General features: G+C 44.8%; 1 protein-coding gene across 21 annotated transcripts in view; it reads right to left on the bottom strand.

Annotated features, from left to right (window-relative positions):
- The window catches only part of CACNA1D (calcium voltage-gated channel subunit alpha1 D), a 319123-nt gene that overhangs the window by 174952 nt on the left and 121813 nt on the right, over positions 1-22358 (bottom strand). The window lies entirely within an intron of this gene.

Genomic DNA, 22358 nt, shown 5'->3' with positions numbered 1-22358 from the left:
GAGCTCCTACCTAGAGGTGGCCACCATGCTAGGAAGCACCTTCACCTTGGACAGTGGGCTCAGGTTCTGGCTCTGCCACTTATTAGCTATGCAGACTTGGGCAAGTGACTTTACCCCTCCTCACTGCAGCTTCTTCACTGTAAAATGAGAATACAGACACCAGAAGCTACCCAGGTTTGTTGGTAAGTGCAAATGAGGCAGCCTATGTAAACAAGAGCCAGTGTCTTCGTGTGGCAAACCCCATGGCAAGTTCTCATGGAACATTGGCTATTACTGCTGTGTCTAGTCTATGTAACACTCACTGCCCTGCCCCAGCCACCAGCCACCACCCAGGAACAGCATGGTGCCCGGTGCAGAGTAACTGCTAAATACTAAGTTAGTATACTCACAATGTACCTAACTCACTGATGACCCTGAAGGAGGTGCACAATTCTTCCCGGAGGAGGCCCTGCCCTGGCTTAGGGCTGGCTCTGCTATGAGGGAGACAGCTGCCTCATCTAAAGCTGCTCTTACACCTTCCTGGACTGTCCAGAAAAACTCTCTATGGTTTGCTATAGACAGAACAGTCAGAAGGTGAAAGAGGGCCCAGATCCCCAGGCCCAATCTTACCCCAACTCCATTCATTGCTAAGGCTAAGAATGTCTGTGGGTCAGTGGAGAACAGGCAGCACTCATCTCATCAGAGAAACTACTCTTTCATACGAACGTCTCCAATGTATGGACACCATTTTCCCACTGAGTGTGCCGACACCATAGAAACACGGATCATACCTTTCTAAGTAAATATATGAATAGAAGCTTTAAAATATTTTAAGTATGGAGTCTATAATTAAGACACAGCGTTTGAGATATTTACACAGAAGATTAATGACTCCATGCACATAATTCATCATTGCTTTAGTATTACCAAGTAATATTAAGTTAATTAAGAGACATTGGGAGGCCAAAAAACCAGGCATGACCCAACTGCAGCCCTGCAATGGAAATGAATGAGCAAGTCAGCAGGCAGAACTGAGTCTCGGGAGACCCACACTGAGCTGAGGAGTATCTAAGAAACCCATGTCACTTGCACTGACCTGCTCTTGCCAGTCCAAGGTCACTCTCATCCATTATTTGACACCTCCCAGAGGCTAGAGAGAGGGCTCCGTCACCATTTCCCAAGCTCAGAACCCACACAGGCCTTTCCACAGGCAATTCCACTCCCAGGGAACCTGGTGGCTCCAAGAGGAGTTACTAGGGGATTATATTGAGTTAGGTGGCAAGGGCTGGTTAATTATCTCTACTCTTCTTTTGAAAGTAAATTTTATGTTTTAAATTGCTTTCCTTGCTCCAAAAAAAAAACCTTAGAGCAGCAAGAATATAAAAATTCAAAGTAGGTGAGAAAGGGAACGTTACATGGCTGTTTAAAAGGAGAAGGCAGATCCACATGTGAGGGCAAGAAAGAGTGCCTACGATCTTATTATTCCAGATTATTACAGTGTGTAATACGAATACTGCAGTGGTATGAACATTACAGGCCCCTGGAATCTGAAAAGATGGTGACCTCTTCATAAGCCAGTCTGCAGGGCAAGCACCCAGAAGCAAAGAGGCTTGCCTCAGAGAAAAAGATCCTTGGGACTTTCCAACTCTACTTTTAGGTAGCTCTGATTTGTGTGAGCTTTTCCCATTGAGCATCTTTTACTTTAAAATCAGCTGAAACTTTAAATATTTAGGACAGAAGAATAAGGTAAAATGAAAAAAAAAGAGCGAGGAAAATAAAATAAAAATAAGACCATTGTAAAGATGTATCCTGTGAAGACATGTCTTTATTAATAAGTCTGAGATTTTTGATAGTTAATGTAAAAGAAGGAAATCAGATCAGTGACACAAGTCACCTTAACCGTTGAATGAAACTGTTTCTTGGCACAGAACAAAATATTTCTCCAGAGGATCTGCACAGAGAAAAGAATCAGTTGACAATAGGTATTAAGCATCAATTATAGGAAGTAGAATAACATGGAATTCCTGTCTCCATGAAATGTATACTGTAATGGAGGAGAGAGGATTGTTTAAATAAAATACATATGAAATTAATTCAGTGCTTTGTATCCAGCAATTTTTGAAAAATGAAATAAAATTGTATGGAAAATATCACATTGCACAGGAAATATCAGAATATAAGAGTATATAGTTTTCGGCCAGGCGCAGTGGCTAATGCCTGTAATCCCAGCACTTCGTGGGGGCCAAGGCAGGCCGGACTGCTTGAGGTCAGGAGTTTGAGACCAGCTTGGCCAACAGGGTGAAACCCCTTCTCTACTAAAAATACAAAAAAATTAGCCGGGCGTGGTGGCGCACACCTGTAGTCCCAACTACTCAGGAGGCTGAGGCAGGAGAATTGTTTGAACCCAGGAGGCCGTGGTTGCAGTGAGCCGAGATTGCACCACTGCACTGCACCCTGGGTGACAGCACAAGACTCCATCTCAAAAAACAAATAAATCGCATATATTTTTCAAACGTGTTTCAGATGACATTTATGTGTGCTTGAGAGTTACAATGTATTTATTACTGCTCACTAAGATTTAAAAAAAAAGTTGAAAAACACAACTCTAGAAGTCGATAATCTTTAGCCACCCCTGGACACCAGTTGTGATAAATAGTAACTCTTGCTCTCATGCTCACTGGTATACACTCTCTCCCTCCACCATATACACATCCACAAAAACCCTGAAGTTAAAAGGTATTTAAAGAGCTTCTAACTGTATGCAGAGCCAGACACCCAAGAAGCAAACCCAATGGTCAGAAAGAACTACCCCAGGAAGTGATAGGGATGGAGGTGAATTTCCGGTGGTTGGTTTCTAGAGCAAGGACAGTCTCTCCAGCTAAGGAAACGGAGACTCAGGCAGGGTCGGGCAGCGAGTTTCCTGCCTGTCCTAAGGAATCAAATGGGGCTATTTTGGGAGGCAGCGATCTCTACGACTATCTGGAGAAGAAGAGAGGAGAATGGGTGGAACCAGGTTGCAAGTTTATACGGGAAGGAAGAATGCCTGTTCTTGCAATGGGGCATGAATAGCAGAAGGCAGGATGGAGTAGGAAAAAGCACCAAACTGAAGACTATGACTCACAAATCCCAGAGTGGCCAAACCAAGAGGCACTACAGAGATCCAACAGCACTGTCTTGCAGGAGCTGGAGAGGCTGAAACCCAGATAGAGAAAGGGCAGCCCCCACATTTGGAGCACCTGGAGGCAGGAAAAAGCCTCAAACACCTGGGAGCTGGACAGAGAAAAAAGGGAAGATGCCCAGCAAACTAACTCATAACCCACCCATCTTCCCTGATCCCCCCCAAATCCAGATGGGAAATGGCTCATTGAGAAACAATACAAAATACCTGACTGGGACAGGAAAATGACAACCCACCCACCAGCATCCCCTCCCCACCCTAAGCCTGGGGCATCAGGTCAGACAGAAGAGAAGCAGGGCAGGGCAGTGTGAGGAATGTGAAGTCCTGGGCCATGGGTACCCACCCGAGACTGCAGTCTGTAGGCCCAGGAGGGTCCCCAGAAACTGTGTGTCACATGTGTCCTCCAGCAGGCATGGCGGCTGTTTGCAGTCAGGTGCACACACACTTCTTAGCTAAGAACAGGGCTGTCAGACACCTGTAACTCACAAGGTGAAATCGGGGGAGGGTTCCTCCTCTAGCTTCTTTGTGGCAAAGGTGCTCAATATAGGAGAAAAGCCCTCTGGCACCTGAACAGGGTCCACAGAGCCCGAGGCTGTAATTTTTAACATATGTTTTTGTATCCTCATCCACTAAATGAGACGAATTCTTCCCTCAGCTTTCTTGAGACAGTGAAGAGCCCTCCCAAAACAAAAATCTTTTAAGGAAGCCCAAGACTGCCTGCCCTCCAGGCAGCCATGAGGATGGTGAAGAGCAGTCCAATTCCTGGTTCTGCTCTTTTCCATCGTGTGGCCCTAGGCAAGGCACTGAAAGTCTCCAAGCAACGGTCTCCTCATCCTCTCAATGGTCACAACAGTACCAACTTTCTGGAATTGAGGATTGATACTGATGGTGGGAAATGCCTGGCACACGGTTTGCACTCAGCACCTGCTGTCACTGAATGTGGTGGTTGTGTTGTGAATGTTACACAGAAGGGCCTCCACGAGCTCTCGCACAGGGGTACCTCTTAAAAACCAAAGGCTGGAGGATTCTAGGACATTGAGACATCCTACTCAGCTTCACTTTACATTCCCACAATGCTAAGGACCAAGGGGACATACTAGCAAGCACACACACACCCATTCACACCCTATTACAAGAAATGGTATTGAAGACTCAGAAAATACCAGCAAAACCATATACATAAACAAGCACCTTGAAATCACAACCATGGAAGTCCTGTTGGCCAGGTGAAAGCTGAAAACCACATCTGTCCCGTTAATTCAGGCATAGGTAGATGCTTTTTTAATGCTTTCATAACTATGGAGGACAATCATCATTTTAATAATGATTCATGTTAGAAAAGGCAACAAGCTTGATCACAATTGCCTCAATTCAAAATTCATTAATACTCTGTAACCAACTGAAATCATTACATTTGAGCTCTATACTTCATAAACATATGTTCTAAGGGAATTGTCAAGCCACTTGATTTCTGTAGTCTGTATTTTAAAGCTGCCTTTATATGTCAATATAGTTCACCATCCATAGTCACTCCCTATAAATTGAGGCACACTCATATCACCTTGAGACATCTGAACATGAAGGGCCACGAAAGCTTAACCAGCTGAATAGATGCTATTTTCTAAATGTCTAGGTTTATTATTTATAAAACATCCTAGTGAGACAAAACGGAGCAAACAAATATAGGTTTTTCTTTAATTACAGTAATGTTGGTGAATCAGATCTCAAATGTCTGGAAATTACTACTTTCTACAACTTGTGATTCTGCTCAAATGCCAAACTTAAAAAACCCAAATCCAGAACAAATAGCTTAACTGTACCATCCAGTCTTACACTTTTTACAACCCAGACATATCAGGGTACAGATATGGGACAGGATTACCCCTGATTACCAGTAAAGGGCAAATAGGTGGGTTCTGAAAAGCACGTCTGTGGAGCCAACACTATACTAGTTTGCTATTAACTTTTTAAAAACCAGACATCCAGGAAATCAGGAGGAGGCAAGCTGAAATTGAGCTGGATGACTTCCCGGCTACCAGTTTGCCCTAAGCTGGAGAGCACAGTAAATATGGAGTCAAGCAGTCTGAGTTCAAAATCCCCACTCGGTCTAAGCTATATAACCTTGGGCAAGCACTTTGCTCTTCTCTAACTCAGCCTTTTTGTTTTTGTTTTTTAAGACAGAGTCTCTGTTCCCCAGGGTGGAGTGTAATGGTGCAATCTCAGCTCATTACAACCTCCGCCTCCCGAGCAGCCGGGACCGTAAGTACATGCCACCACACAGGCTAATATTTTTTTAAGAAATGTGGTTACGCCACATTGCCTAGGCTGGTCTTGAACTCCTGAGCTCAAAGCAATCTGCCCACCTTAGCCTCCCAAAGTGTTGGGATCACAGGCGTGAGCCACCACACCCAGCCCTTGCCTTGGTTTTCTAATCAGTGAAAGCACGGTTAAAAGGAGTACATGAGATAATGTGCAATGGTCAGCACATAGTATGCACACAATAGTTATTATTATACAGGAATATCTCATTTTATTGTACTTCACACTTTATTGAGCTTCACAGACAATGCAATTTTTTGTAAACTGAACATCCGTGGCAATGCTGCAACAAGCGGGTCTATTGGTACCATTTTTCCAGCAGTTAAGTGCTCACTTTGTGTCTCTGTGTCACATTTTGGTAATTCTTGTGATATTTCAAACTGTTTCATTTTTATCGTATCTGGTACGGTGATCTATGATCACTTATCCTCGATGTTACTATTGTAATTGTTTGGAGACATCACAAACTGCGCCCATAGAAGACTGTGAACAAAATTGATAAATGTGTGTGTTCTGACTGCTCCACCAACCAGCTGTTCTCCATCTCTCTCTCTCTGTCCTTGGGCTTCCATATTCCCTGAGACGCAATAACATTGAAATTAGACCAATTAATAACCCTACAACAGCCTCTCAGTATTCAAGTGAAAGGAAGACTCATATGTCTCACTTTAAATCACAAGCTAGAAATGATTAAGCTTAGTGAGGGAGGCATGTTCAAAGCAGAGACAGGCTGAAAGCCAGGCCTTTCGTACCAAACCATTAGCCAAGTTGTGAATGCAAAGCAAAAGTTCTTGAAGGAAATTAGAAGTGTTACTCCAATGAACAAATGATGATAAGAAAGTGAAACACCCTTATTGCTGATACAGAAAATGTTTTAAGGGTCTGGACAGAAGATCAAACCAGCCCATTCTCTTGTGCCAAAGTCTAATCCAGAGCAAGGCCCTAACTCTCTTAAATTCTATAAAGGCTGAAGAAGCTGCAGAGAAAGTTGGAAGCTAGCAGGGCTTAGTTCATAAGTTTTAAGAAAAGCAGCCATCTCCATAACATAAAAGTACAAGGTGAAGCAGTAAGTGCTGATGAGGATGCTGCAGCAAGTTCTCCAGACGATCTAAGATCACTGATGAAGGTGGTGACACTAAACAGATTTTCATGTAGACAAAACAGCCTTCTATTGTAAGGAGATCCCATCGACGATTTTTCTAGCTAGAGAGGGGAATGCCTGGCTTCAAAGCTTCAAAGGACAGGCTGACTCTCTTGTTAGGGGCTAATGCAGCTGGTGACTAAGTTGAAGCCAATGCTCCTTTATCATTCTGAAAATCCCAGGGCCCTTAAGAATGATGCTCAATCTACTCTATGCTCTATAAATGGAAAACAAAGCCTGAGTGACAGCACATCTGTTTATAGCACAGCTGACTGAATATTTCAAGCCCACTGTTGAGACCTACTGCTCAGAAAAAAGCTCCTTTCAAAATATTACTGCTCACTAACAATGCACCTGATCTGATGGAGATGCACAAGGAGATGAAGGTTTTCATGCCTGCTAATATCCATTCTGCAGCCCATGAATCAAAGAGTAATTTTGACTCTGAAAAGCCTTATGATTTAATAAATATATTTCATAAGTCTCCAGCTCCCATAGATAGCAATTCCTCTTACAGATCTGGGCAAAGTAAATTGAAAACCTCTGGGAGGAATTCACCATTCTGGATGTCATTAAGAACATTTGTGATTCATTAAAGAAAGTCAACATTTCAACATTAACAGGAGTTTGGAAGAAGTTGATTCCAACCCTCATGGATGACTTTGAGGGGTTCAAGACCTCAGTAGAGGAAGCAACTGTAGACATGGTGGAAATAGCAAAGAATAAGTATTAGAAGTGAAGATTGAAGGTAGAACTGAATTGCTGCAATCTCAAGATAAAACTTGAATAAATGAGGGGTTGCTTCTTATGGATGAGCAAAGAAAGTGGTTTCCTGATATGGAATCTACTCCTGGTGAACACTGTTGAAATGAAACAGAGGGTTTAGAATATCACATAAACATAGTTGATAAAGCAGTGGCAGGGTTTGAGAGGATTGACTCCAATTTTGAGAGAAGTTCTACTGTGGGTAAAATGCGGTCAAACAGCATCCCATGCTACAGAGAAATCTTTCATGAAAGGAAGAATCTATCATGTGGCAAACTTCCTTGTTTTAAGAAATTGCCACGGCCACCCCAGCCTTCTTCGGCAACCACTACTGTGATCGGTCAGCAGCCATCAACATCAAGGCAAAGCCCCTCACCACCAAAAAGATTATGACCTGCTGAAGGCTCAGATGATCATTAGCATTTTTAGTAATAAAGTATTTTTAATTAAGGTATGTGCATTTTTTAGACATAATGCTATTGGACACTTAACAGACTACAGTATAGTATAGACATAACTTTCATATGCACCGGGAAACAAAAACATTTGTGTGACTCACTTTACTGCAAATATTTGCTTTATTGTGGTAGTCTGGAACCAAACCAACCATATCTCCAAGGTATGCCTGTTTGAGCCATTGAGGGTAGAAGCTCAGGTCTTGACCTCTTTTCCAACACTCTAGAAGCTGTCAGATTTCCTTTTAACCAACTTGTCATTTGAACTGGCATTCTTTGTTCCCTCTGGCTAAAAGGTAATGACTAACGCCCAAGCCATACTGAACTCTCATGACTTGTTAATTTCTAAAGAGCTTACACGTTTTTGTTCCCCAAGAGTTGAGCTGTTTGCTTATCAGGAGTTGGTGGTTGGTTCCCAAGTTTATGTCAGTTGGATTAGTAACTACCTAAATTAATTAAGTACTGTCTCAAATAATGAGATACGAGTGCAAAAGAAAGAGTTGTTTCTTCCAAAACACCAGGCTGAATCCATTGGAAGTACTGGATAAGCAATGTTACATGTTTTATTGTTGAATCAGATATGGATGTATAACAACAAGAGATAAAGAAAAAACCATAGACATTTAGAATTGCTCTCAGCTTTCCTCTGTATCTTTATGTTCTTGTTCTATTGTTACATAAGAGGCAACTGGAAGTTGTGGACATTATAGGTGTAGCCTGTGCAAGCAAGTGGATATGCTGATCAGTAGATACAGAATAATGAAAACAAAACCTGTGGCCCTACTTCATCAGATTGGCAAATAATTGTCCAGTCATATATTCCACGTTAAAATAATCTTTCACAGGTGTTATGTCTTTTTAAATGAGCCTCCCCGTAACTGGCTTTTTAAAGTAACCAACCTAACAGGTCAAATATAAGGACAGGTGCAGCAGGAGGCCAGTGAGAGTCATCAGGGCTTACTTTGTCCTCAGTTCCCTCCTGAGGTCCAGCTTTTTACCATGCTTGCCATGAACTTGTCTCTAGAAATGGATAATGACTGCAAATACACTGTCAGTCAGCAATGCAATATGTATTTAAATAAATATCACATTGTCCTTATGATGACTTTTGAACGCACTGGCAGAGTTAGTACCAACTGCTACCATTTATACATCGGGGCTCAAAGTGGTGAACTTTCTGAAGTTGCATGCTATGTCATCAACCTCTGTCTTCTTTGTGGGCCAGCATGGGGTGAAATGGTGTGTGGCAGCAGCAGCATTGTGTGCTGGGGGGAGAAAAACGAAAGAAGGGAGGGAATGTGTGTGAGCAAAGAAAGCATCTGCGCCAGGAAGACCTGCAATGTATGCCACATGAGGAATGAGGAGGGGATGCTGCTGCTAGCAGAAACACATGACTGATTAGAGCTCCCCAGAAAGTCACCCCAGTGACAGACTGCTAACTCCTCCCCTTCACCACAACCTCATCTCAATGTTAAAGGATGCTTTCATTCTGTATTTTATCCTATGTTGGATACTCAGTTCCTGAACATCTGCTGTGGGTGAGGTAAAGTGCATACAATCCCATAAACTGATCACTTTCTTAAGAGAAAATGGAAGACCAGCCTAGGCTTCTGTCCTGGTTAGTGTCAGCCAGAGAAAATGTGGGTTGGCATGAAGGTAATCAGACAAGCAAAGCTACCATCTTGGGCTAAATTCAACCATCGGTGACAACTCGAAACTTGTTCTTTTCACTAAACCAGGGGTTGGCAAATTATGGCCTCTGGTCCACCAGCCAGGTTTTCGTAAATAAAGCTTTACTGCCACACAACCACGCTCGTTTGTTTTCTTGTCTAAGGCTGCTTTTGCTCTGTGGCAGCAGACCTGAGTAGCCGTGACAGAAACCACACGGCCCACAAAGCCTAGAATATTTACTATTCAATTCTTTACAGAAAAGGTTTGCTCACCCCTGCCCTAGACCTGTAGTGCTCATGAGATAGAATGCTCTTGGCTTTCAGTTCTCTGCCAGAAAAAGAAAAGAGAATGCTAGTGATTACCTAGCCTTGTTCCTTCTTCTAAGATGAATGGTATAATATTTTTGCTTAATAGCTAAGATATGCATGGAATACTAGCAAAAATCTTTGCAAACACAAACATTTTTACAAACAGGTTCTGACAGTCTTTTACCACTGCTTCCTGTCAAGACTTGCAGGCACTGAAATGGCAGTGACCGCTGAGGCTTTCGAAAACACAAACAGGCACAGTCACATATGGCGCTCAGCTTTGTCTGGAGGGACACACTGCAATTCAGAATTGCAGGCACAAAAGAAACTGCTACTTAGAGATTTTTTTTAAGACCTTGAAGGACCTGATCCCTCATTATTCCCATAGCAGCTTCAGTTTTTACTCTGTATTTAACCAAAGTTCCTACAAGACTATAAAAAACCCATAGCCACTGTGAAAATAAGTTAAAATAATAGTTTCTGCAAAATACTTTAAGTGCCATGGCATTCATCCTTTAGAATTGGGTTAGGGAGTACTATAATTTGGTCTGTCAGCACTGATGTAAGCACACAGCAGACTCAGAACAGTGTGTGTTGACTCTCTAAGGTTTGGAAGATGGGGAGCTTACAATGGCCTTAAAGAATACTTAACATCTGTCCTTCCACAAGAAGTTACCCTCATACTTTGACAAATAACCACAGAGAGAACAGCAAAAGCACAGAAAGACAACACAAATAAAAGGCACAGGGTCTGCATCTGACACTTGTGCTTATGTGTGTATCTAAGGTATAGTAGTGTGGGTTATGATAAAATTCTTCATTCTGTACATAAAGGAGAGTTGGGTGACTGCTTCCTGTTACCCAGGTATTAGAGAAGACAGGGCTCCCTGCTGAAAACAAGAACTGAATACCTCATTTTATTTTATTTTATTTATTTATTTTTTTTGAGATGGAGTCTCGCTCTGTCACCCAGGCTGGAATGCAATGGTGTGATCTCAGGGCCACCACAACCTCCGCCTCCCAGGTTCAAGCGATTCTCCTACCTCAGCCTCTGCCTCCTGAGTAGCTGGGATTACAGATGCCTACCACCACACTGGGCTAATTTTTGTATTTTTAGTAGAGATGGGGTTTCACCATGTTGGCCAGGCTGGTCTCGAACTCCTGACCTCAGGTGATCTGCCCACCTCGGCCTCCCAAAGTGCTGGGATTACAGACATGAGTCACCACACCCGGCCTGAATACCTCATTTTCTAAGAAACCAACAGATGGAACTAGACATCTCCCCAGCCCAGGGCTCACTAAGCCAGCCCTTTATAATCAACCATCCCTTTTCCACCATCCCCCACCCCCCACCCATCCACAGCCACAGGCTAGTGAGGCTTGAGAGGGAACACAGCATCAGCATGTTGGCAGCCTTGTGGAAGAGGATAACAGCTAGAGGGAGGTCCCCTTCCTAGATCTAAGAAACGGGGACTTAAGAGAATCATCAAGACAATCACGTTTGCAAGATGGATAAACTAGCACCTCAGACCCCAGGGAACTCTCAGCTTTGGCTACAGTCCTGAACCGCTGCTCCGCTCGCCTGTGCTAGGACAGTCGCCATGCTACCTTTTGACCTGGCAGAGACCCATGAGCTTCCTGCAAGTTAAGTGGGCCCCACAGGGTGGCTAGGCTTGAGCTCTCTCTGGGATCTCACCCAGGGGAACTGGCCACCATGCAAGGTTACTCTAGCAACCAGAGGCTGTGCAGCAGGGATCAGAGTGGCTGAACCAGAGCCACAAATCCCTATTGGGACCTGTGAGGTGGAGAGGTCTCCACAGAATTTCAGCAGGAATCTGCACGTAGATGCCTGTCAGACCAAGGGTGCTGCTGCCTGGCCAGTTTCAGCTAGAGAAGCTGCAAAAACCAACCAGGAAGAAAACATCTCTTGTGCCCAGTTAAGCATAAAGGTACTTGCTCCTATCCCTCTGCCTCCTTCTCACTAATGGAGGAGTCAGAGCTGAGAGGTAGGGAGAGCAGCCCACGCCCCCTTACTACAGTGGCAAGGCAGGAGCAAGAAGGAGTCTTAAATCAGATGAAAACACTGACGTTTCGTTAACTGAAAATGGGAAGTCTGCCCAAGAGGTCATCTAGGAAGGGGAGAGGGAGATCCAACAAGGCACAGGTAAAAGCAGAGATTGGAAACATACAACCATTTCATGTTACAATTCAGGATTCCTCAACTAATAAAATATAGATAGGTAAATTGAGGCTCAGAGAGAGGCAAGAACTGATCTAACATCATAAGCCAAGATGGTGGCTAAAGCTGAAACTGAAACCACAGTCACTTTTCTCCACCTTTCCCCTCACAGTGACACCTGAGTGTGACTTTATCCATGTTTGACTTTAAAAAAAAAATCAGAGGAACTGGCTCAGGGCCTCGGCTCAGGTTAGAAGTCTTCCCTCCTCCAGGGATTTTCCTAAGAGCCTCCTTTCTCTCTCCATTTCCCCTCGCAGCCTTTCCCTCTCTCCCCTCTTGCCCTCCTGTGTGCCAATGCACACGGCACCTGTTATCCCTATCCCACAGGTCCCCTCCATCTGGTAGGTCCTGACTGCTACAACCATATATAAAGCTAGCTTTGGGGGCAAAACTTGGGTCTCAATCACAGTTCTCAGCTATTTCCAGATCAGCATGACCAGGAAATGACTTTAGAGCAGGCTTTTCTGGAACCTGACATTCACCCCCTCCTCTTCATCCCTCTGACCATGAGGGGATGTGCCCGGGGCGGCAAACTCAACCTGCCACACTACACCAGTGGGAGTCCAGAATCGGAATCACCTCTGAGGGGTCCCCCTTTTAATTAGAAAGTACAGAGTAAGGTGCAAACTCTTCTCCAGAATTCCAGCAATTCTGTGCATTTCGTTGGCCAGTTTCCAGCTTCTAAGCTAATCTAAAGAAACCCAAAGCAGCAGACCTACAGATAAGACTCTCCTTTATCCCCACCCCAGCCTAGTCTGTAAATTTTCTCAGATGTGCACCCCACACACACTCCTCCTCTGAAGGCAGAAAGTTGGACCACATGACCTCCATGGATCTTCAGGTCCTTTCTGCATTGAATACCCTGAACCTCTGTATACCCAGCTGGCCCACTCACCCAACCATACATTAACAGGGAACCAGTCACCCAACAATTGGTAACTGATTAAGAAAATTAAGTCCTATCTGTAAATGAACATGAAGGTCTAATAGAAATCTGGGTGGTTATGGATTATAGTTTCGGCAAATTCCTTGTCTATTCCCAACACAGCAAGGGCACTTAATAATTAATAAAACAATAAATGAACACATGTCCCCCTCCCTAAAAGTTGACTATATTACAAACCTGGTAGGGAAAGGGATGCTTGTAGGGTGGTACAGAGAACGATGTCATGAATGCTCCCAAATCCCAGAAGAGCACATCTTCCTAGGGGAGGGAACAGCACCGCTTGGGTCCTAAAGCAACCACACAGCTGAGAGTACTCAGTAGAGCAAGAACACAGTGAGGGAAGTGCTGGAGACAAGAGGCATGATGCAGGCTGCTGGGAAGTCAGAACGCGACATATCTGAACCCTCGAGAGAAGGTGTGGGAGACACAGTGGGAATACCTCCACCAACTCAGTTTTAATTGGGTAGCTCTTCCAAAGGTAGTGGGGACAGACTCTGTAGTCCATCCCACCAGCATCAGCACCAGTGCTCAGACGCAGCTGCCCTCACTAACCTTCGGTGCTCTTTCCAGGGCACACTCTCAATGTCAGGACCTCAAGACCCGGATGTGAGTGAGATATGGTCTTTGCCTCATAGATGCCCTATACCCAATATAGCCTACTGTACTGAGCTCTGCCTGCTACCAGGGATTTGGAGACAGGTGGGCCCTCTTTATCCAGGGCTGAAAACAATGGAAGAAACACACAAACTATCGTGGTACTCCTTAGCGTGCATGCACACACACACGTTCTTCCCCCTTCATCCCCTCTCCAACCCTTTATCAAATGTGGCAATTAATCAGCCTTCTTACATCCCTATTCTATCAATGCAATGTTCGCTGTCACTGGAATGCTTTGGATTTCTTAGCATCTCTCAGTATATCAACAGGGTATCCATCGCTGTTTGCCCCTACACAATCCCACGGATACCACCTGGACAAGTCCACTCCCAGGCCTAATACTTGGGGGAACTCAGTGACTATCACAGAAATTCTATTTCCAATTACTGATTCTGTCACAGCCACAGCTCAAGAATTTGGGGGTGCGTCATATAAACAGAATTACGGTAATGCCATTGAGGGCTTCTTGGGATACAGCAGAGTGCCTCTGTTGGAGCACTTCCCAAGTGAAGTGCCATATAATGGGAGGTAAATGCCAGGAAAACACGCCTTCCAGATGGGTGATTACAGCTAGGCTGGGGCTGGCAGGGAGAGGGGTAGTAAAGGCCCCTCAAAACACTGTCTGGCTGGGAAAGGCTCAGCACGGGAGAAGGTGGTGGGATGGGCAAAGGCAGGCAGAGCCAACCTCACTAGCCAGGAGGGCTCAGGCTTGTGTTGTCTTCGTTATCACGCAAGACCTCACTAGCTAATGTGCTGAATCTCCTTTCTTCCACTTTTCCTTTCCTGTGCTTATTACTACATAGATCAGTTCAAAAATTAGGTTCACTGCAAACAAAAATGAAAACAATGTTGCTCTGACTTCATTCCAAGAAAACAGAAAAGGAATGGAGTGTTGATCCAATCTCTGTCCTCGGTTCACTCTGTGATTCTCTACAGTGGTTTATAACTTCCCCTCCCCACTCAAAGGCTCGCCTGATATTGCTATCTAGAAGGATGTATCTGGCATTTTTGTCCAAAGCTCTCAAAGTTAACAGGAACCACCATTTCAGCTCTTGTACACAGCATCCGCCATGGCACTACAGATGGGTAACTTTCATCAGAAGGAAGAAGATGACCTTGTTCATCTTTTATTAAAATCTCTGTTGAAAAGCCAGAACTCTGTATATTTTAAATTATTTATGAACTCTGCACCGTCCCCGATCACTAATTTCCCAATCTCCTTCTACTTATTGATTCTTTGTTCTCCAAATTAACAGAGAGTGAAAGCAATTCTAAAGCGGCTCCAAGCACTCAGCATTGAGGGAAACACCTTCAGGATGATCACAGTCAAAAGGGGAGAATCAGAGCTGTGGCTGGAAGATTAACTCAAAGGTATCCAGGTGATCAAATGAGTCAGAGACGCTGGAAGTATTCTTCTGAATTTGATAAATCAGCTACATTGCAAAGGCTCCTGTGGTGGGTTTTAATGGAATTTTAAAGAAGATAAACAAAATAGCACTGTGTAACAAAGGGTGATAAATCATAATTATCTTCCCTTCATGCTACTGCAACTTGCATCCTCCACTTGAGCATATTTATTCCAACCTGTATTACAAACATCTTCAAATACACAGAGAAGCTACAAGAATTGTACAGTGAATACCCACAATTCCACTACCTAAATTGTGCAACTAGGATTTTCCTAGCTTTATCACACACCTTGTCATCCCTCAACCCATCCATCAATCTATCTTATTTTTAGATACATTTCAAAAGAAGGTGCAGACCTCTGTACACTCAACCCCTAAACCCTGACACATGTATATCACCATCTAGAGTTTAATATTTGGTTATGAGTATTTTAAAGTAAAATATACACATTGAGAAATGCATAAATCTTAGATGTGGCATTTAGTGAGTTTTGATACACCGCGCTTTCTCTTTTAAGGCTTCTTTCGGCCGGGCGCGGTGGCTCACGCCTGTAATCCCAGCACTTCGGAAGGCCAAGACCGGCTGATCACGAGGTCAGATCCAGACCATCCTGGTTAACACGGTGAAACCCCGTCCCTAGTAAAAATACAAAAAATTAGCCAAACGTGTTGGCGAGCGCCTGTAGTGCCAGCTATGCAGGAGGCTGAGGCAGGAGAATGGCTTGAACCCGGGAGGCAGAGAGCTTGCAGTGAGCGGAGATCGAGCCATTGCACTGCAGCCTGGGTGACAGAGCAAGACTCCGTCTCAAAAAAAAAAAAAGGCTTCTTTCATTGAACATAATTATGTTACCTCCCTCTATCACAGTTCATGCCTTTTTCTTGCTGAGTAGCATTCCATTGTATGAATATATCATAATTTGTTTATCCATTCTCCCGACGGACATCTATGCTGTTTCTACCTTTTTTTAAGTTCAGGGGTACGAGTGCAGATTTGTTACAGGTAAACTTGTACAGATTATTTCATCACCCAGGTATCAAGCCTAGTACACATTAGTTGTTTTTCCTGATCCTCTCCCGCCCCCTACCCTCCAACCTCCAAAAGGACCCAGTGTGTGTTGTTGCCCTCTGTGTCCATGTGTTCTCATCATTTAGCTCCCACTTATAAGTGAGAACATGCAGTATTTGGTTTTCTGTTCCTGGGTTAGTTTGCTAAGGATAATGGCCTCTAGCTCCATCCATGTCCCTGCAAAGGGCATGATCTTGTTCTTTTTAATGGCCGCATTATTTTTCTTATTATGAATAAAGTTGCTATAATAATTTGTGTATAAATATTTTTGTGGACATGTTTTTATTTCCCTTGGGCAAATACCTACGAATAAAATTGCTGGGTCACAGGCCTTATAAGAAACTGCCTAACGGGCATATCATTTGAGGTCAGGAGTTCAAGATCAGCCTGGCCAACATGGTGAAACCCTGTCTCTATTAAAAATACATAAATTAGTTAGGCATGGTGGCTTACGCCTGTGATCCCAGCTACTGCTGAGGCTGAGGCAGGAGATTCACCTGAACCCAGGAGATAGAGGTTGCCGTGAGCTGAGATTATCGTGTCACTGCACTCCAGCCTGGGTGACAGAGTGAGACTCTGTCTCAAAAAAAGAAAAAAAAAAAAAGTTTACCCAAAGTGTCTGGACCATTGTACAGCCCCTCCGATGATGCGTTAAGAGTCTCCAGTTGTTCTACATCCTCACCAACATTAGTTTTATTAGCTTTTTCATTTTAGTCACTTTGGTAGGTGTGTAGTAGCATGTCCTATGGTTTTAACTTGCATTTTTCTGAAAACAATAATGTTGAACATCTTTTTATGAGCCTCTTGGCCATTATATCTTCTATTAAAAATATCTGTTAAATTTTCTGCCCATTTAAAAAAATCGCTCGCTTGTTTATTATTGTGTTGCATGGATGCTTTATTTGTCCTGCGTACAAATGTTTCATCAGATAGATGTTTTGCAAATATTTTCTCCCAATTAGTGGCTTACTTACTTTTTCTTAACAGCATCTTTTGATGAACACAAGTTTTGATTTTGATGAAGTTACTGTATCAGACTTTTATGATGATTGCTTTTTGTGCCCTGTCTTAGAAACATTTGTTTATACCTAAGTCCTTTGTTTTCTTCATGCAAGTATGTTTAAGCCTATGTTACACTTATTGCCTTGATTCCTTTCACCTCACTCCTCTCCCAAGGCAACTTTTGAGAAACACACACTTGACTCTCTCGCCACCACTGTCCCCAGCCCTAATCTTACTATTGGCATAAGGAAAAGCTGGAAAAACAGCCAGGGCTGGCTCTGGACACACAGGTTAGCTCTGTGGAGCTCGCCCAGGCTTAGCACTGGGACAGAAATTTTGAAAAGTGCCTCAGAAAAAGAGTGAGACACTGTATCAAAAACACAGGGCCTCCTAGATTCAGCCTCAAATAGGGGCCATGGAGAGAGAAGCTGAGGGAGCTGCATCCCCAGTCCCGTCCATATTGATTTCTGGGAATTCACAGCTCTGGCTTAGTCGGTTCTTTTCCCTCACTTGCATTCATAGGTGTCATCTGTAATAAAAAGCTCTTCTCCAAGCTGCTACTCAATGGGGTAAGGAAGGGGCTGCACAAAAGGACACAGAGCTTCAGGCTGTGTCTGAGGTTTTGTTTGCAGCTGGGTATTCTCGCCACTTAGGAAGTGCTCTTCTTGCTCCCTTCTCAGTGCTCCTCTGGCAGTGTCATGGCTAGCCACTGAGGACAGGCACATCCCTTCTTCCTCTGGCCTCAGTGCCTGCACGCTCCTTCCTCTCTGTTTCCCCCAGGTCTCAACTGATGCTAAAAGTTCCTGGAGGCTTTCACATAGCAGATCTGTCATAAGTCACCCCAAAATAGTCCTTTCTGTTATGCAAATCCAGGTATATCTGCTTATGTAATAAATACATCCCAAAATTTAGGGTGCAAATCAAGTTCTTACACAAATCTATGATTGCAAATGCTTTAGAGAGTTCTCAACTGGAAGAGATGTTCCCACATCATGAAAGTACAAATTTTGTTCCTTTGGGCTTTCTTCTGTGAGTTCTGCTTTAACAGAGGGACCAGGTGGGGAATCATGGCTCACGCCTGTAATCCCAGCACTTTGGGAAGCCAAGAGGGGAAATCCTTTGAGCGCAAGAGTTTGAGACCAGTCTGGGCAACACTGTGAGACCCCATCTCTACAAAAACAGAAAAAATATATAGCCAGGTGTGTTGGTGTGCCTGTAGTCCTAGCTACTGGGCAGGCTGAGGCAGGAGGATTACTTGAGCCCAGGAATTCAAGGCTGCAATAAGCTATGATCACACCACTGCACTCCAGCCTGGACAGAGTAAGACCCTGTCTCAAAAACAAAGAAGAAGAAAAGAGAGATGGACGAGAACTGGGTTCTAACGGTAGAAATTAATCTCAACACCCTTCTAAAATGGCCACTCCCACACCTCCAGGCCCCTCCATACACACTGCCCATGGAAAGGCCGCTCACTAGACACCTGTCCTGGCTCTGTCGCACCCCTGAGAGCCTGGACTTCTCTGCTTTAAAGAGAGGGAGGCAGCCAGAGCTGATACATGATACTTAGTGTATTATTTTAGTGTGTCCTACTTACATTGCTATTTAATTTTTCATAAATTTTCTTCATAGCACTTGTAACAATCTGTAACTTGATTATCCTTGTTAACTGTCTGTGCCCATGGCCAGAAGCCTAAGAGGTATCTTTTCTATTTTGCCACCATATTACCAATGCTTAGCACAGGGCCAGGCACCAAGCGGACATTCAATAACTATTTGTTCAATAAAGACGCATGTGTCCTAGGCACTGCAGCGAGTTTATACATTTCTGGTTGGAAGAGACCATGTCTTCCCTTCTTTTACACTTGCCCAGTATTCTTCACACTTAAAGAAAGGGATTAAAATTTTAAACAAGCAGCAGCCTTCCACTCTGGACTGGTGGCCAGTTAAGTTCTGCTGAGGGATCTTCTACTGGCCCTCCTACCCAGGGTCCCAATGCCGAGGAAGGAGAAGGTCAGACATGTTAGGGAAAGGACATTCACCTTAGAGCCACAAGATGAGGGCTTGAGTCCCAGTCCTCTAAAGTAAGGATGGTAATAGCCACAGCACCCGCTTAGCCATCTCCCAGCACTGTGAGGACAAACCCATCAGCACCATGAAGGTGCTTGGTTGCTGCATATCCATTTAGGAGCACTGGTTATAATTTCCAGCACCTCACAGTGCCAGGTAAATTACCCATGTTTCACTGAGGCTTAGCCAATTAATTCAAAGAAATAACCTGAACCTATGATCTTCACAGAGGAATGAAAGGAAAGAAAATGGGGATTTTTCCATGACTAATTCCAATGCTGGATTTTAATTTTCTGAGGGCCAGGAGACAGGAGGCATGAGAAAATTCAAAATCTAATTCAACCTCTTTCTACTGAGGCTCAGTCCATGGAAAGCCCTGGGCAAGGCTTGGGAGTGCGGGGTTGGGAAGGGTGTGGAAATCAGAGCCACTGTGGGGTGTGCCCGTTTTATTGGTGTGGTTTCTGCCCAATGGACCTACTGTTATGCTAATACTTTACAGCGTTGTTTCTGCATGGAGGGAGGTTACACTGGCTCATGAAACAGACTTGAACACAACAGAGACGTTGGCAGTGGGGGCTGCCGGGTAAGGGCTGCCTGCAAAGGGGTACAAGTGCATCATCCCACAAAACCCTAGGACCTAAGAGTTATTAACCCCATTTCACCAATAATGATATTGAGGTCAAAGAGGTGAAGTGACTTGCCCGAGGTCACACAGCTAGGGAGCAGCAGGGCCAGAATTTCAATCTCAGTCTGTGCAACAGCAAAGCCAGCCCGTCAACTACTGTAGTGCCCTGCCTTACAGATGATAAAGCGCCAGACAGAAGCAAGTACACTCTAGTGCACTCTTGGAGGAAAACAGTCAGTCTGACCAACGAGCAGAGATTCCTTAAGGAGCACAACATCTGAGCAGGACCGGGTGGAGCCCAAAGTGCAGTGCTATGCCTAGAGGAGGGGCAGGTGCAATAAATGGTCCACATGGAAAACCAGAAGCGGGTGGGTTCTGGCTGTATTTGGGGAGGCTGCAGTGTGAGTGTGGGGCTCTCAGGATCTAAAGGGCCTCAGAGGCAGTCTCAGAAGTTTTCTTGTGTGAGGTTTCTGAGCAGTGGACAGACCGCGAGCTGTGGTGGCTGTTGTCAGAGCCCTCAACTCTGACCAGGCAGCAGCAACAGCAGCAACTGTGGCTGCCAGGGAAGTCTCCGCATCAGCACAAATCCAGGCTGCCCATGAGCTGAAGTGTTCCTGCAGAGCCCAGCCAGACCTGGGCCATCTGAGGACAGCTACATGCTGTCTGCAGCACTGCCAGCACCTGGGCGACCTTGGTGCCCGTCAGCCCAGCCCTTCATGCCCTCACCTCTCCAACTGCTTCTCCAAAAGCACAACTGAGGTAAAGACACACACTGGGTACTGTGCAGCTGCTAGGAGCTGTCGAGTCTACCAAGTGGGACCACAAGAGCTGGCGGGTCCCTACAGGTCCAACCCCTCCCTGTACTGAGGAGGTCCCTGTGACTTGGTGGATGCAAAGAGCTGTTCAAGGTTCCCCAGGTCAGAGGCCCAGCCAGAGCTGTGGCTCGGGGCTCCTCTTCATTCCTTCAGCAGAGACTGATGGAGCACCTAAAACATACCTGGGCTTGGCCTGGGTGCTGGGGACAAAAGGGTGGAAATGATAGACAAGTGACTCTCCTTACAGGGCTTCTGTTTGGTCTCCAAGTCCAGGGCTCTTTCCACTGCACACATGCCTCCATTCCATCTCCCCCAGTACATTTGAGGCTCACATGTAAATATCTACCTCCCCAGCTGCGTCCCTAGCTGAGTGCCTGAGTCACTGTTCCAGTACAGCATCTAGCACTTGGTTGGGCTTAGAGCCAGCCCTGAATAATCCTGTTAGTTGACCACCCATAGTCCTTGCTGGGTAGTCAATTACTGTACAAGTGAACTAAGTCGCCCATGCTCCCCACACTTCCTTTTCCTCAGCTGTAAAGTGGGATGGTGATAATTACAATGTCATACCTCATGTTTGTTGAGCATTGCCTAGGAGCCAGTCATTATGCTAAGTACTTTACAGGCAATGCGTCACTTAATTGTCATAACACCCCTAAACCCTAGGGTTTATGAAACTGAAAATACTACTTTCAGTGCTTCACAGATGAGGAAACTGAGGCTTAGAAGGTAAAGAATTTAACAGAGGTTACATGGAAGTAGCAAATCTGTCACTCCAAGACCTGTGCTCTTAGCCTAAACACTAAACTACCTACCTCCTCCTGCCTCCCCTCACTACCTCCACCCCACCCACTGACATCGGAGGGCTTTGGAGAGAATTGGGGGAGACAGTGGAGAGGAGAGCACACAGTGACTCTGGAAACACAAGCCCTACACAGAGGTATGGGAGCTGGATGCTTCTGCTATCAACAGTGAGTATCGTGAGACAACAGCCGCTATGAATGGTTGGTCCTGCTGACAACATAGAGGGCTAGACCTCAGGGGATCGGCAGGACTTGGAAAAGCAGAGAGGAGGAGAGAGAACATTCCAGGCAGGTGTGCTGGGGGAGGGAGGCAGCATCTGGAAGCAAGGCCCAGAGGAGGGAATAGAGGTTCAAGAGGCATAAGTCAAACTGCCTCAACTACGTGCAAAACTCCTACTGTGACACCAACCATTCTTTCCCCTCAACCCACCAGGGAGACATACCATCAGTGTCCTGCACCTGCCTCCATGGAAACCCACCCAGCATATCCTCCTATCTCAACCCTCAAACCCAGATCCCAAGGGAGCACATTTAAAAAAAAAAAGAAAAAAAGGCAAGGCAAAGCTGGCATGCTTCTGAGTTTCAGGCTCCTGCCTCATTTCCTATAGGCTCTGGCACAGTGATTATTCGCATGGCTGATTGGATAACCGATTATACAGCAGAATATTTTTAGGTCTGCATCTCAAAACACACACAAAACAAAAACAGGGAAGGCATAGTGCATTTCCTCCTAGGCCTGCTGTAACAGGCAAGCACAGCATTAGGTCAGGGGGTGGGTAGGAAGAAGACGGAAGAAAGCAGAAGAGTTGTCTCCTCGTTAAGTCTGGTTGACTCCAGAGCAGCTGCATCTGTTTGGATGGCAGAGAGACAGAATGTGCGTGTGAGCCTCTGTGAGGGAGAGCAGAGAAAGAGGGGA

This window comes from Homo sapiens, chromosome 3 (assembly GCF_000001405.40).
Source record: "Homo sapiens chromosome 3, GRCh38.p14 Primary Assembly".
NCBI lineage: Eukaryota > Metazoa > Chordata > Mammalia > Primates > Hominidae > Homo > Homo sapiens.
The sequence above is the reverse complement of the archived record's forward strand: the minus strand, read 5'-3'. Positions and strand labels throughout refer to the sequence as shown.